This window comes from Homo sapiens, chromosome 5 (assembly GCF_000001405.40).
Source record: "Homo sapiens chromosome 5, GRCh38.p14 Primary Assembly".
NCBI classification, from domain to species: domain Eukaryota; kingdom Metazoa; phylum Chordata; class Mammalia; order Primates; family Hominidae; genus Homo; species Homo sapiens.
In genome coordinates, this window is record NC_000005.10 from 81,247,830 (window position 1) to 81,263,966 (window position 16,137).

The 16,137-nt window shown below is 43.0% G+C and overlaps 1 protein-coding gene and 1 long non-coding RNA gene across 6 annotated transcripts in view; one reads left to right on the forward strand and one right to left on the reverse strand.

The window, feature by feature from the left end:
• The window catches only part of CKMT2 (creatine kinase, mitochondrial 2), a 33,077-nt gene that overhangs the window by 14,508 nt on the left and 2,432 nt on the right, over positions 1–16,137 (forward strand). For all 3 annotated transcript variants that reach the window (NM_001099736.2, NM_001825.3, NM_001099735.2), the window contains 8 exons: positions 3,284–3,455; positions 4,866–5,064; positions 6,567–6,662; positions 7,164–7,385; positions 9,086–9,171; positions 9,904–10,027; positions 11,291–11,425; positions 15,662–15,787. In NM_001099736.2, coding sequence (NP_001093206.1) covers positions 3,304–3,455; positions 4,866–5,064; positions 6,567–6,662; positions 7,164–7,385; positions 9,086–9,171; positions 9,904–10,027; positions 11,291–11,425; positions 15,662–15,787 — 1,140 coding nt within the window. In that variant the 5' untranslated portion in view covers positions 3,284–3,303. The remainder of the gene's footprint in view (positions 1–3,283; positions 3,456–4,865; positions 5,065–6,566; positions 6,663–7,163; positions 7,386–9,085; positions 9,172–9,903; positions 10,028–11,290; positions 11,426–15,661; positions 15,788–16,137) is intronic.
• Positions 1–16,137, reverse strand: part of CKMT2-AS1 (CKMT2 antisense RNA 1) — a 64,005-nt gene that overhangs the window by 10,265 nt on the left and 37,603 nt on the right. Inside the window, exon 2 of one of the 3 annotated variants that reach the window (NR_034122.1) lies at positions 2,874–2,960. The exons of the other annotated variants lie outside the window; for them this stretch is intronic. This is a non-coding gene — a long non-coding RNA (CKMT2 antisense RNA 1). The remainder of the gene's footprint in view (positions 1–2,873; positions 2,961–16,137) is intronic. 3 annotated transcript variants of the gene reach the window in all.

Here is a 16,137-nt window from a genome sequence, read left to right on the forward strand (position 1 = left end):
AGGAATCAAAGCAAGGATACTGAGGAATTTCAGTTCCAAGATTGCTTTGCTAGCCACAATCAAAGCTTCCCCAGGATTATCTGCATGAGTCATCCTTTGTTGCTCAGACACAAGGGCAGTATTGGAACTTGGAATAAAATAATAATTATAAATTAATTAAATTAGTTCCTTCCAGGAACTAAAATATGGATATGACACTTCAAACATTAATATTCTGAGCCAGATACCCACTCACACATCACCCTTACAGGGAGGAAGACCTCCAGTGGTCACAGGACTATACATGGAGACCATTCACTCCCCTTCCTCTTGGCTCTGCTTCCTAAGATTTATCATCTCAGACACTGACTTGGGCACATATCAGTGCATAGGCAATTTAAGGAATGAAAAATAGGGACCAGGACATTTGGGTCATCCCTGGTCAATCCCAGAAAGGAACATACTTCCTGTTAGCTTAGGAAGACCATGTCTGGCTTATGTTTAGGCCCATACTGCCTGGAAAGAATCTGGGCAAAGCTTCTTTCACTTTAGTGAGTTCTACAGTAAACCTCTAGAGTGACAGCATTGCCTCTCTCTAGTTAGAAAGTGGGTTTGAGGGTGTGATGGCAAATAAGATGGCCCAAAGGATGTATGCTAGCGTTGCCTGCTGCAAGCAAGGACCAGGAAGCACTGGTGCAGCTCACTGAAGAGCCGTTATCTATTCTTGGAGGGATACTGACATGATGACCTGAAATCTAGCAGGGGAGCAAAGAAGTTTCCATGATGAGAATGAATGTTGGTCTTTACAAGTCCCCAGGACAACTTCAAGAAATGACCAATTTATATCTTGTCTGCTCTTAGTAACTTACTGGCTTTAGAATTGAAAGAATTGTTTGCAGATATTAGCACGGAAGAAGAACTAATAATCTGATTTCCTGGGCTATCCTGTAACCTATATCCTGTAACCCCTACTCAGAAGAGGCTTGATTTGTTACTTGCACACATAAACATTCTCAAATGTTTTCAAGGTCTTTGATGCTTTTAGTTGGGACATTCAGGTTTAGTAGAGACTTCGAAATGACGGTTCTATTAGGAGTTGATGTTTATTCTTCACTGGATGGCCCAGGTTTTCAGCTACAGCCTTACACATCAGCAAGTTCTTTGAAGCAATCAATTCAGCTAAGTTTGGAGCATCTTGCAGCTGAGTCTTGGGAGCCTTCCAAATATGAGGGAAATCCATGCTCTTTTTTTTTTTTTTTTGAGACAGTTTTGTTCTGTCACCCAGGTTGGATTGCAGTGGTATAATCTTGGCTCACTACAACCTCCACCTCCTGGGTTTAAGTGATTCTCATGCCTTAGCCTCCTGAGTAGCTGAGACTACACTACAGGTGCATGCCACCACACCCAGCTAATTAATTTTTTGTAATTTTAGTAGAGACAGGGTTTTGCTGTCTCTACTAAAAGACAGCTAACAATGTTGGCCAGGCTGGTCTCAAACTCCTGGCCTCAAGTGATCCGCCCACCTTTGCCTCCCAGTGCTGGGATTACAGGCATGAGCCACCATCCCGGGCCCATACACTCTTTATTTGGGCATTATGGAGATCAAATAGAGTACTGAGAACTACGTACTCTTTTGTTCTCTACTCAAAGAGCCACATTACACAGCTCCCTGCTAGGTGATACTGTGGGGCTAATTGGCCCTTCTAAATCTCTAGGCAGTAGCAGACCCAACAGGGTTTCTGTCTGTGCATGTTTATCCTCTTTTTCATCGTTTGTTGGTAGTTCAGTACTTGTATTACAAATAAATATATAAATACTTATTTAGATTTATACATGTTTTCTCCATTTCAGGCTCTCTCCTTATGCTGTCATTTCCTTTCTTTCTGAAGCATATAGCTTAGTAATTCCTTTGTTATTGATCTGTTTTTTATCAATGTTTTTCACTCTCATTTTTGAAAAAATGGTTAGACTAGTTCCCCAGTTCTAGGGTGACAGTTATTGCTTCTAAAAATATTATCTACCTGGGCTCATTATCAAAAAATCAGCTCGTTTGTCATTTCTTTGTAGGTAAACTGTCTTTTCTTTCTGACTGCTCTTCACGTCTTTGTCACTGTTATTCTGCAGTTTTATTATTTGTCTAGGTGTCAATTTCTTTGTTTGCTTAGATTATGTTACACCTCTTGAATCATGGATTCTTTTATCAGTTTTAAAAATGTCTCAGCCATTCCTCTTCAAATCTGACTTCTCTGTTTATTCTCTCTTTCTGGGACTTCAATTTGATGTGTATTTGAGCTTGACATTCTATCCATCATATCTCTTAATTTACATCTATTTTCCATTTTCTCATTTCTCTGTGCTACATTCTGAGTAATTTCTTAAGCTATATCTTCCAGTTCATTTATTCTATGTTCAGCTGTGTCATAATGAGTGGTTCAATTTGGTTCTTACAAATCAACTTGGTCATTCTTAATAGTCTCTTGTTGCTTGCTCATAACTATGATTCCACACTTAGTTCTTTAAACATTCAATATAGGGCTTATTTATATTATTGTCTGACAGTTCCAGCATCTTCAGTCGTTAGCAGTCTACATCTGCTATTTCTTCTGTTGACTCTCATTCATTGTACCTCCTTGTGTGTTTGGTGATCTTTGGGAGTTCATTGTTTCATCTTAATCTGTAGGAATCCAGGGCCTAAACTGAATATAATTTCCTCAGAGAGCTTTTAGACCTGCTTCAGGCAGGAGCCAGAAGTTGGGGTCTGCTGACTTTGTGCCACTTCAGCCTCTTTCAAAGGTCCTACTTCAATGGGGGAATCCCAGTCTCAGCCCCTATTCCCAATGCTGGCATCCCAACTTCAGTAGAGTGGGAGGGTGGTCCTCAGAAATTTCTCCTACCTTTCAGAAGTCCAGAAATCCATCCTGTTCAGGGTCTAGTTGTGATGCAGTGGCAAAGTTCAATAGAGCATATGGTCTGTCAAATAGCTGGAAGAAGACATCCCTGCTGCTGTTTATTTTTTATCATAGCATATTAACAGAGAAAAGGCATGGAATTCAGAAAGTTTAGACATTATGTCTAAAACTACCCAGATTTTCCCAAGCAATATGAAGAAAAAAGCAAAGCAAGAAATAGAAAACACACACACACACACACACACACACACACACACACACAGAAAGAGAGAGAGAGAGACAGAGACACCGGAAAGAGAGGCTATGGCTCCTGCAGTTCTCTTGCCCATTGACCCCTATGTTGTGGCTCAGGGTCATCCTATGAAGCTATCTAATCCAGCTTCTTTGCTTTCCAGACACTCATCCAAGAGGAAGGATGGCCAGTATCTTTTCTAAGTTGCTAACTGGCCGCAATGCTTCTCTGCTGTTTGCTACCATGGGCACCAGTGTCCTGACCACCGGGTACCTGCTGAACCGGCAGAAAGTGTGTGCCGAGGTCCGGGAGCAGCCTAGGCTATTTCCTCCAAGGTAAGGGCTCCTGACTTTAAAATAACCTCAGGCCAGGCACGGTGGCTCATGCATGTAATCCCAGCACTTTGGAAGGCCAGATCACGAGGTCAAGAGATCGAGACCATCCTGGCCAACATGGTGAAACCCCATCTCTACTAAAAATACAAAAAAATTAGCTAGGCATAGTGGCACATGCCTGTAGTCCCAGCTACTTGGGAGGCTGAGGCAGGAGAATTGCTTGAACCTGGGAGGCGGAGGTTGTTGTGAGCCGAGATCGCGCCACTGCACTCCAGCCTGGCAACAGAGCAAGACTCCGTCTCAAAACAAAACAAAACAAAAACAAAAACAAAAAAAAATCTTCAAAGACCAGCAAGAAATATGCTTTCCCCTGCTGGAAACTGTTAGCAAGGGTCCTTCTTTTTGCCTTTGAGGATGACTAAGTAAAACCGAAAATCATTTTGAGACTCATTAAGCCAGTGACCTGTCGTGTATACAAAGAAGTGTAGCATCGTCATTCTTGCTTAGAGCTTGCAGTCCAGTTGCATAGTAATAATGGGGATAGTTAACATTTGTGGAGCACTTTTATGTGTGACCAGCACTTTACATGGAATATCTGTTTTTCATCTTAGGATCCTTCTGTGATGAAATGAAAGCCTAGAAAAATTAAACAGTGCCCAAGTTCACATAGCTAGTACAGCGAAATGCAAATCCAGGCCCCCTGATTCCAGACCCATGCCTCTCTCACTGCTCTACCACCTTCTGGAAAAAGGGATATCATAGTACTGACTTTAAGTATCGGCTCTAAAGGACACTGCAGATGGAAAGTGGAGGAGTGGCACGAGAGGGATGAAAATAGATGTGTTTTCTCAGCCCTTGGAACCCTGCCATGGATGAGATACCATGCGCTGAGCAGAGTTTGAGTGGCATGCAGAATTCCACATAGGCAGGTATGGATGAGAGAGACAAGGAAAACCACTGAGGTGTCTCTGAGACATTTAGTGTCTCTTATGAAAATCAGGATCTCTGAGGGAATCGCCAGCAACCCCCATGTACCTTGGGAATTCCTGAGGTGACATGACTTGTGTTTGAGGCTGTGGTGGTCCTAAATCTCCTATTCCTCAATCAGTACACACTCCAGGGTAAGACAGCACCCAATTTGATTTCTATTATTCCAACAGATATTTACTGAACACTGGTTTCAACAGCCAGGGACTGTTTTCAAAAAGGCAAAGTCCCCGCTCTCGTGGAGCTTGCTTATTTTTTGAAACCTGGTGTATTCATTTATGACTCCTAGGCAGTTCTAGCCAAGTATCCCTGTGCCCACTGGCTGAAGGGAGCCTAGTGGAAGGATGGGCAAACAACAAGTCCTTCCATTGGCCCCTTTCCTCGGGGGCTGCTGGCTGACAGCCTGCCCTCCTCCCCACACAGCGCAGACTACCCAGACCTGCGCAAGCACAACAACTGCATGGCCGAGTGCCTCACCCCCGCCATTTATGCCAAGCTTCGCAACAAGGTGACACCCAACGGCTACACGCTGGACCAGTGCATCCAGACTGGAGTGGACAACCCTGGCCACCCCTTCATAAAGACTGTGGGCATGGTGGCTGGTGACGAGGAGTCCTATGAGGTAAAACTATTGGCTGCTGGTTCCAGGGTGGGAGGGATGCTCTGGATATGACTGACTTGCACAGTCCTGGGGTCCTTTTCTTCTCTATGGGGCCAACTTTCTGCCTTCTCAGGAAGGGCTCTCATAAAGGGAAGCCAGCTCCAGCAGAACCATCTGGAATGCTTTCTGAAACAATGAGGTCTATAGCTTCCCAGGGACAAGGCTTCCCTTGCTGCTGTGCTAAGATCCCTCCCTGTGGAGGAATGAATTGCATGACAGAACTCTGAGCTTGTCAAGTGGATGAGTTGGTACAGAAACAATAAAATTGAATGGTGTGTATTCACCAGTAAGACATTAGGAGCTGATGTGTTTGTGGCTGAGCTTTATTGGGTGGGGGTCGGGAGGAGGGTTCAGTGTATCTTTGGGAATATGAGGAATTCTCCTCTTATTCTATTATTATTACTGATTTCTCTCCTATTACTGATTAGACGATCACTGTAGCCCAGACTACTGAATTCACTAAGTCTCTTGGATAAATCCCATGACCTCGGCATCCTCATCCTCAATGCAGAAGCACAGGGTGGTCGGCTGGAACAGTGCTCAGCCACTATGCGTCCCCTCCACAGAGCAGCCTCTCCGCTGAGGCAAATGCCTGCAGCCCTCCTCCTTCAGGTCCACCCTTTTGGGTTCTTCTGTTGCAGGGAGCTGAAGGCAGTTCCCTAGAAAGGCAGCCATAGAGAAGAGAGGGAGCCATCTTGAATAAACACGACTGGTGGCTCATTTACGTACTGCAGTGCACAACCCTGGGTCTAGTTTGGGTCCCAAGCTAGCAGTAGCTCTCTAGACTCAAAGTCCTCCCCACTTCCCACAGCTCCCAAAGTCTGCAGGGTGCTTTGTTACAACTTCTTTTAACAATTTTTTTTTAACATAAAGGATATGCCTGAAGTTTTGTTTTTAGAATAGATTTTGCACGAGATCATTTGGGCTGGGGAAGGTCCGCATCGGGTGAGAGGTGCCTGCTTTGCCCAAACTGCTGCTATGTACTTTTCTTCTGGCGTAGCCAGGTTTTCAACAAATTTCATATGTAGCTTAATATTTAGAATCTGACTTTCCCTTGAGCATAAAACTGTGTAGCCTCTGATCAGGTAGCTTCTTGTAACCCACAAGAGCAAACACGTCTAGGAAACTCCTTAAATTCCTAACCGTAAGTATTTTCTTGCTCAATCTGATGGCAGTGATTTTGGCAGAATCACTCAGCAGGAGGTTAAGATGACAGAACTCACCAGCCCCACCCTATCTCAAGGGGCAAGATGCCTTCAAAAGGCTTTCTCTCTTGTTGTTGTTGTTGTTGTTGTTATTAACCAATCCATTCTCACATCCATTTCCTATATGATAGTCCTGAAAATTTCAGAGAAGGAGGGCATCAACTTTGGCTTTTAAGATACAAGGGGCAAGTGAATGGAAAGGTCTTTAAATAGTAGGTGAACCAGTTAAAGAGGAAACACCCATCTTCCCTCCTGCAGGTGTTTGCTGACCTTTTTGACCCCGTCATCAAACTAAGACACAACGGCTATGACCCCAGGGTGATGAAGCACACAACGGATCTGGATGCATCAAAGGTAGGCTCCAGCCTCCCTCTCCTTCCCCACGAAGCTGGCACTCCTGAGCCCAAGGGGAAGGCCCCTGGAGAGAGGGGTTCCCCGCTGTAAGTCAGATACCCCTGGAAAGCACTGTGACTGCCCTGGCACAGCCTTCCCTCTGGAGGGCCACAGAGAAGGTTAGGAGGGTCCGAAAGTCTGTTTTCTTTAATAAATACAACTAGGGAAGGGTTGGTCATTGGGAACTTTAAACCTTTCCTAAAGCTACTCCCTTTTTCATCCCAAACCACCCAGTGACGGTCAAGGACCCCAGACCACGCTATATAAAACAGCTTTCCCCTTTACTAGTCGAAGGTCCGTGCCCCAAGACTTCCGGAATGTGTCCAATTTACGGATTGTGCAGTCGTGCACAGTGCCTGAGGGTCCCCAGGGAAACTGCAGATTGGCGATTAGAACCCACTGTGGCTGTGGCAGGACCATGGTCCGAGGCTGGCCACAGTGACCCCACAGTCTGCTTGGCAGATCACCCAAGGGCAGTTCGACGAGCATTACGTGCTGTCTTCTCGGGTGCGCACTGGCCGCAGCATCCGTGGGCTGAGCCTGCCTCCAGCCTGCACCCGGGCCGAGCGAAGGGAGGTAGAGAACGTGGCCATCACTGCCCTGGAGGGCCTCAAGGGGGACCTGGCTGGCCGCTACTACAAGCTGTCCGAGATGACGGAGCAGGACCAGCAGCGGCTCATCGATGTGAGTAGCAGATGGGGCTCCCTGGGGAAGGACTGGACCAAGGGCTCTGACCCGCACAGGAAGGCCTCTCCTGGTGCTCTGCTCAGTCCTTACCCTAGCTGGGAGCTTGCTGGGCTCCACCCCTGAGCTCAGCCCAAGAGCATCTACTTATTCAGTGTAAGGAAGAAAGACGAGGCCACACATTGTACTTGTCAAGCCACTGAAACATTCTATGCATAAAATCTGCATAGGAAACTCCAATATGGAGATGGTGCCTGCGGTTAGGAGGGTGGAGATGAATGGAGGATCTCCTAGCTTGTTGATAAATGGGAACAGTTAGGTGTGGAAATCCTGTCTGTGTCCAGAAGATGGTTTCCATTATCACAGCCAAAGAAAATCCTGGAAGCTACAAAAATCTAGAAAGGAAATTCCAGGTGGGAGGCCTGCCCTGACTCTTGTGGAGCAAGCCTCTGCATTTCCTGGTGGGGTTGATTCCTGCTGCTTCCACCATGTCTACCACGGCTTCCCTCCGGCACCAGGGTGCACAAAACTCAAGTCCCTTACTTATTTTCGTCTTAGCACAGCTAAAACAAGATGGCATTTTCAAAAGTAACAACTTTAAACTCTTAAAAAAAAAAAAAAGCAGAAACAAAATTTTGTCATTTCAAAAGATGCAAATGCTAAGAAATATGCCTCATTTCCAAACCAGACAGGCCAACTATATGGCCTGCCCAGTTACAGAACAAGCCCTCCTCCACCTCAAGTCACCACCCTGGTTTCCTGCTTAAGGGACATGCTGCTCCTGGGCAGTGGCAGGTCACAATCCTCTCCTGGCTGAAGTCTCTGATCTCTCCCACTTAGAGACTGCAGGACTCCTCTCCCCACATCCACTTGGTCTCTTACGTGTGTAATCATATTTGAATATATCTCTCTGTAGAGTATGTGTGTAACTATGCAAGAAAGAGTAGTATACACATTGCAAAAAAAAAAGTCTTGACTTTAATTTTGATATGTGGAGTAGTATATTGCAGTGGTTAAAGGCATAGGCTTGGGAGTCACAGAAGTCTACATTTGAATCTATACTCTGCTACTTCCTACAACCATCCTATTGGACAGGTTGTTTGATCTCTCTGAATCTGTTTTCTTCATTTATAAAATAATTACACTTATTTCATAGAGTTGTGAAGATTAAAGGAAATAAAAGCCTGTAATCTAGAGCCTGGCACAGTCAGCATTAATGGTAACTATATTTATTGATCATTACTGTACATCTCTAATACTTTTTAATGAAATAATGAAGCAATAATGCTAGAAACAGAGAATGAGCACTGTGTAGAACAGCCTTTTCAGGATAGTATCCCTCATTCATTGCTCGCTCAGCCATTGTATAGGGTTGGTGTTGGTAGTGTATACCCGCTCCACAGTGATTTCATGAGTTCCAAATGGACTAACCCAGTGTTTTTCACCATTAGCTGCAAACTAGAATCACCTGAAGAGTTTTTAAAACGTCCTGATGCCCAGATCAGTCTATAACAACTAGGTCAGAATCTCTGGGCATTGTTTGAAGCTCCCAGGTTATTCTAGTGGGCAGCCAAAGCTAAGAACCACTGCCTAAGAGACAGCAGCCATGATAAGTGGGTTGGAACTTGTTCACCTGGCACTTGCAGTCCTGTTTGATCTCATCAGTCTCTCCTCTCTGCTTTATCCCTTTTGGCCTACAGGACCACTTTCTGTTTGATAAGCCAGTGTCCCCTTTATTAACATGTGCTGGGATGGCCCGTGACTGGCCAGATGCCAGGGGAATCTGGTATGGATGCAGCATTTTCACATTTGCAATATCTGTAGAGGATGTTTTTGAGATCACCTGCTTATCCTAACCTGGAGTTGCTGTGTACTGCAGTTGACAGCATGCCCAGACTGAGCTAAATGGAAAAAGACTACTTGGAAAGTGTGTGTGTGTGTGTGTGTGTGTGTGTGTGTGTGTGTGTGTCTAAGCATTGTGGTGTTTCTAAGATGTGTAGAAATATGACCTGGTTTGCATGAATTATGTGCCTGAAGGAGCAGAAATAAAAAATGTTCATGTGCAGCTGCTCTGTAGGGATGGACAGGCAGGATCCATGGAGCAAATGTGTGAAATGTTGTGTACCTTCAACATCTTGGGTGGAAGGTAACCCCCACCCGCTTTTTAGAGCACAAGATTTTGGTTGAATCTTTTAGGAGACAAAACATTCTTGTTAATGTCGAAGCCAAATGTTATATAGTTGAATTACTGTCATCCTAGTCAGAGGACCTAGGGGGAATTAATTATATTCTTGTTTGGTAAAAACATGACATCTTTTAGGGTGAGAGTTGGTCTTAATCTTCCTTCTGTCAAAGTAACATTATTTTGTCATACTTGTTCAGGCACAGTTAAGAGATTAGGGCCATCTAGGAAATGAGGAAGGTGAAATGAAGCAATCAAGCTAGGGAGGTAATGGGAATTTTCATGTGTTGAAACAAATGCAATTAACACTCAGTACCATATTTCTCTCTTCATTAGGCATAATTATGATAAGACATTTCTCATCTGGATAAATGAGGAGGATCACACCAGGGTAATCTCAATGGAAAAAGGAGGCAATATGAAACGAGTATTTGAGCGATTCTGTCGTGGACTAAAAGAAGTAAGATGTTATCTGAGATTTCTGGATATTTATTAAAATAAAATTACCGTATTGTTTGTTCTTGAAAGAAGACACTATGGTAACTTCCAAGATGGAGCTAATTTTTTTCTAGAAATCAAAGCAACTGCCGCCTCCCAGGTTCAAGTGATTATCCCGCCTCAGCCTCTAGAGTAGCTGGGATTACAGGTGCCACCACCACACCTGGCTAATTTTTGTATTTTTAGTAGAGAGGGGTGTTTCACCATGTTGGCCAGACTAGCCTCGAACTCCTGACCACAGGTGATCTGCTGGCCTCAGCCTCTCAAAGTGCTGGGATTACAGGCATGAGCCACCACGCCCAGCCTCAAGGCATTTTTTGGATGAGCCACCACGCCCAGCCTCAAGGCATTTTTTGGAGTGCAACTTCCAAGGTAGTGCTTCAGAAAATAAGTGACTTTCTCTTGTTATTAGAAAGCTATTACGCTTACTTCCCCATTCCACTGTGGTTTGGGGAAGTCTGTGGATCATTACTTGTTTTTTGATTTATTTAATATCGCTCTGAGCTATTCTAAGCATACAGATGACAGAGAATGTAGCCTGACCATAGACTCACCTGCTGATAATTCCTGTATTCTCCTACTCTCTTGGCATGAAAAATGCCACCAACTAACATTCATCAAGTGCTTAGTACAGGCCAGGTACTATGTTGACTGCTTTACATCAGGGGTCCTCAACCCCGGGGCCACGGACCTGGTACAGGTCTGTGGCCTGTTAGGAACTGGGCCGCACAGCAGGAGGTGAGTGGTGGGTAAGCCAGCATTACTACCTGAGTTCTGCCTCCTGTCAGATCAGCAGAGGCATGAGATTCTCATAGAAGCACAAACCCTATTGTGAACTGCGCATGTGAGGGATCTAGGTTGCGTGCTCCTTATGAGAAACTAATGCCTGATGATCTGAGGTGGAACAACAGTTTCATCCCAAAATATTCCCTCCCTACGATCTGTGGAAGAATTGTCTTAAAACATTCATTATCTTTCAAGACACCGGTCCCTGATGCAAAAATGGTTGGGGACCACTGCTTTACATGGTTCATTTAACTTAATTGGGCCATTTTAATAGTCTGGTAGGAGAGGTATTATTTTCTCTTAAAGGAGTACTATAAATTTACCTTAATTTCATTCATGCCAGAGGAGGGTACACATCTCTCTCTCTGGTGTTAGGGATGTGCTGAATGAATGGATGTTGGAAAATGCTGTCATTTGTTCACTGTGGTTCTACTTGTAGGTAGAACGGTTAATCCAAGAACGAGGCTGGGAGTTCATGTGGAATGAGCGCCTAGGATACATTTTGACCTGTCCTTCGAACCTTGGAACAGGACTACGAGCTGGTGTCCACGTTAGGATCCCAAAGCTCAGCAAGGTACTGTTATGTGCCCAGTGGCCCTGATGGGCCAGGATCAGCTCAGATGCGACTGCTTTGTGGAGGAAGAAAACATCACTGCCCATTCCTTAACCCTTACTTTCTCTATCTACAATATAAAAATAAGAAAAAAATTAAGTTTGCCTCCAAAGACATTTGTATTAGTTAGAATAAAAGGTTCAGGGGCTGTAAGAAAAAGATGGTAGCTTCAAGAATAAGGCCTTTACATTTTTCCTCATGTAACAAATCAGGATAGGTAGGCTCTGCTCTCTCTGGTTCTTTCTATCTCCTTTCTCCATCTCTCCTAGTTCAAGCAGTTCTCAAACTTGAGCATGCAAGAGATCACCTGAAGGACTTGGTAAAACACAAGTTGCTAGGCCCCACCTGCAGAATTCACATTTCTAACAAGTTTCCAGGTGATGCCGGGGTTGTTGGTCAAGGGACTACACTTGGAGGAACGCTGTCTTAGAGCACTCTTCTTAGAGACCTACAATGAGACTTAGACTCCCACACAATAACAGTGAGAGACTTTAACACCCCATTGTCAATATTAGATCAACCAGACAAAATTAACAAGGATATGCAGGACTTGAACTCGGCTCTGGACCAAGTGGACCTCATACACATCTATAGAACTATCCACCCAAAATCAACAGAATATGTACATTCTTCTCAGCATCACATCGCACTTATTGTAAAATCGACCCCACAATTGGAAGTAAAACACTCCTCAGCAAATGCAAAAGAACGGATATCATAACAGTCTCTCAGACCACAGTGCAATCAAATTAGAACTCAAGATTAAGAAACTCACTCAAAACCGCACGAATACATGGAAATTGAACAACCTGCTCCTGAATGACTACTGGGTAAATAACGAAATAAAGGCAGAAATAAATAAGTTCTTTGAAACCAATGAGAACAAAGACACAATGTACCAGAATCTCTGGGACACAGCTAAAGCAGTGTTTAGAGGGAAATTTATAGCAGCAAATGCCCACAGGAGAAAGCAGGAAAGATCTAAAATCGACACCCTAACATCACAATTAAAAGAGCTAGAGAAGTGAAAGCAAACAAATTCAAAAGCTAGCAGAAGACAAGAAATAACTAAGATCAGAGCAGAACTGAAGGAGATAGAGACACAAAGACACAAAAAAACCTTCAAAAAATCAGTGAATCCAGGAGCGGGTTTTTTGAAAAGATTAACAAAATAGACCACTAGTCAGGCTAAAAAGAGAGAAGAATCAAACAGACACAATAAAAAGTGATAAAGGGGCTATCACCACTGATCGTACAGAAATACAAACTACCATCAGAGAATACTATAAACACCTCTGTGCAAATATACTAGAAAATCTAGAAGAAATGGATAAATTCCTGGACACATACACCCTCCCAAGACTAAACCAGGAAGAAGTCAAATCTCTGAATAGACCAAAAACAAGTTCTGAAATTAAGGCAGTAATTAATAGCCTACCAACCAAAAAAAGTCTAGGACCAGACAGATGCACAGCTGAATTCTACCAGAGGTACAAAGAGGAGCTGGTACCAGTCCTTCTGAAACTATTCCAAACAATAGAAAAAGAGGGACTCCTCCCTAACTCATTGTATGAGGCCAGCATCATCCTGATACCAAAACCTGGCAGAGACACAATAAAAAAAGAAAAATTTCACGGCAATATCTCTGATGAACACTGATGTGAAAATCCTCAATAAAATACTGGCAAACCGAATCCAGCAGCACATCAAAAAGCTTATCCACCAAAATCAACTCAGCTTCATCTCTGAGATGCAAGGCTGGTTCAACGTACACAAATCAATAAACGTAAACCATCCCATGAACAGAACCAATGACAAAAACCACATGATTATCTCAATAGATGCAGAAAAGGCCTTTGACAAAATTCAGCAGCCCTTCATGCTAAAAGTTCTCAATAAACTAGGTATTGATGGAACATATCTCAAAATTATAAGAGCTATTTATGACAAACCCACAGCCAACAGGCAAAAGCTGGAAGCATTCCCTTTGAAAACTGCACAAGACAGGGATGCCCTCTCCCACCACTCCTATTCAACATAGTGTTGGAAGTTCTGGCCAGGGCAATCAGGCAAGAGAAAGAAAGAAAGGGTATTCACGCAGGAAGAGAGGAAGTTAAGTTGTCTGTGTTTGCAGATGACATGATTGTATATTTAGAAAACCCCATCATCTCAGCCCAAAATCTTAAGTTGATAAGCAACTTCATCAAAGTCTCAGGATACAAAATCAATGTGCAAAAATCACAAGCATTCCTATACACCAATAGACAAACAGAGCCAAATCATGAATGAACTCCCATTCACAATTGCTTCAAAGAGAATACAATACCTAGGAATACAACTTACGAGGGATGTGAAGGACCTCTTCAAGGAGAACTACAAACCACTACTCAGAAATAAAAGAGGAGACAAACAAATGGAAAAACGTTCCATGCTCATGGATAGGAAGAATCAATTATAGTGAAAATGGCCATACTGCCCAAAGTAATTTATAGATTCAATGCTATCCCCATCAAGCTACCATTGACTTCACAGAATTAGAAAAAACTACTTTAAATTTCATATGGAACCAAAAAGGAGCGCATATAGCCAAGTCAATCCTAAGCAAAAAGAACAAAGCTGGAGGCATCATGCTACCTGACTTCAAACTATACTACAAGGCTACAGTAACTAAAACAGCATGGTACTTGTACCAAAACAAATATATAGACCAATGGAACATACAGAGGCCCCAGAAATAACATCACACATCTACAACCATCTGATCTTTGAAAAACCTGGCAAAAACTAGAAATGGGGAAAGGATTCCCTGTTTAATAAATGGTGTTGGGAAAACTGGCTAGCCATATGCAGAAAACTGAAACTGGACCCCTTCCTTACACTTTATACAAAAAGTAACTCAAGATGGATTAAAGACTTAAACATAAGACCTAAAAACCATAAAAACCCTAGAAGAAAACCTAGGCAATACCATTCAGGACATAGGCATGGGCAAAGACTTCATGACTAAAACACCAAGAGCAATGGCAACAAAAGCCAGAATTGACAAATGGGATCTAATTAAAGAGCTTCTGCACAGCAAAATAAATTATCAGAGTGAACAGGCAACCTACGGAATGGGAGAAAATTTTTGCAATCTATCCATCTGACAAAGGGCTAATATCCAGAATCTAAAAGGAACTTAAACAAATTTACAAGAAAAAAACAACCCCATCAAAAAGTGGGCAAAGGATATGAACAGACACTTCTCAAAAGAAGACATTTATGTGGCCAAAAAACATGAAATAAAAGCTCATCATCACTGGTCATTAGATAAATGCAAATTAAAACCACACCGAGATACCATCTCACGGCCAGTTAGAATGGTGATCATTAAAAAGTCAGGAAACAGTTGCTGGAGAAGATGTGGAGAAATAGGAATGCTTTCACACTGTTGGTGGGAGTGTAAATTAGTTCAACCATTATGGAAGACAGTGTGGCAATTCCTCAAGGATCTAGAACCAGAAATACCATTTGACCCAGCCATCCCATTACTGGGTATATACCCAAAGGATTATAAATCATTCTATAAAGACAAATGCACACGTGTGTTTATTGAGTCACTGTTCACAACAGCAAAGACTTGGAACCAACCCAAATGCCCATCAATGATAGACTGGATAAAGAAAATGTGGCACACATACACCATGGAATACTATGCAGCCATAAAAAAGGATGAGTTCATGTCCTTTGCAGGGACATGGATGAAGCTGGAAACCATCATTCTCAGCAAACTAACACAAGAACAGAAAACCAAACACTGTATGTTCTCACTCATAAGTGGGAGTTGAACAATGAGAACACATGGACACAGGGAGGGAAACATCACACACTGGGGCCAGTTGGGGGGTGGGGGTTTGGGGAGGGATAGCATTAGGAGAAATACCTAAGGTTGATGATGGATTGATGGGTGCAGCAAACCACCATGGCACATGTATACCTATTTAACAAACCTGCACGTTCTGCACATGTATCCCAGAACGCTTTATTTAGTTAATCTATATATTCAATATATATATCTATTATAAATATATATATTTATTATATATATAAAAAGTTAAACTGTTATCTCTCACTATATGTCTTTTGTCAGTAAACGCACCAATGATTATGAATCAATTTTGCCTCTTAGCACATTTAAGTATTATCCCTTTGTCCTAGGACCCACGCTTTTCTAAGATCCTGGAAAACCTAAGACTCCAGAAGCGTGGCACAGGTGGTGTGGACACTGCCGCGGTCGCAGATGTGTACGACATTTCCAACATAGATAGAATTGGTCGATCAGAGGTAACGTCTCTCTCACTTTCCTAACATGAACTAACAAAATCAGCCTAAGAGAGAATAGAGAAAAGCAAACAGCCTAGCCGTTTTCACAAAATTCGAGACCTCCTCTTCGCCCATTGAGTCCTGAGTTATGTTAGCTTTTCATTCTGTAACATTATTCTTCCATGGGAAATAACTGCATAAAGGGAAACATAATGTGAGCTGAGAATTTATAGGCAAGTATAGGAATTCACAGTGGGACTGTTGTCACCGACCTGCCATGAGAGCTATTCCAACAATCCTCAGCGAGCAGGAGCTCTGTTATGCTAAAGGACTGCAGTTTTTTTATTACTGTAAAGTCAGAACATCTATGC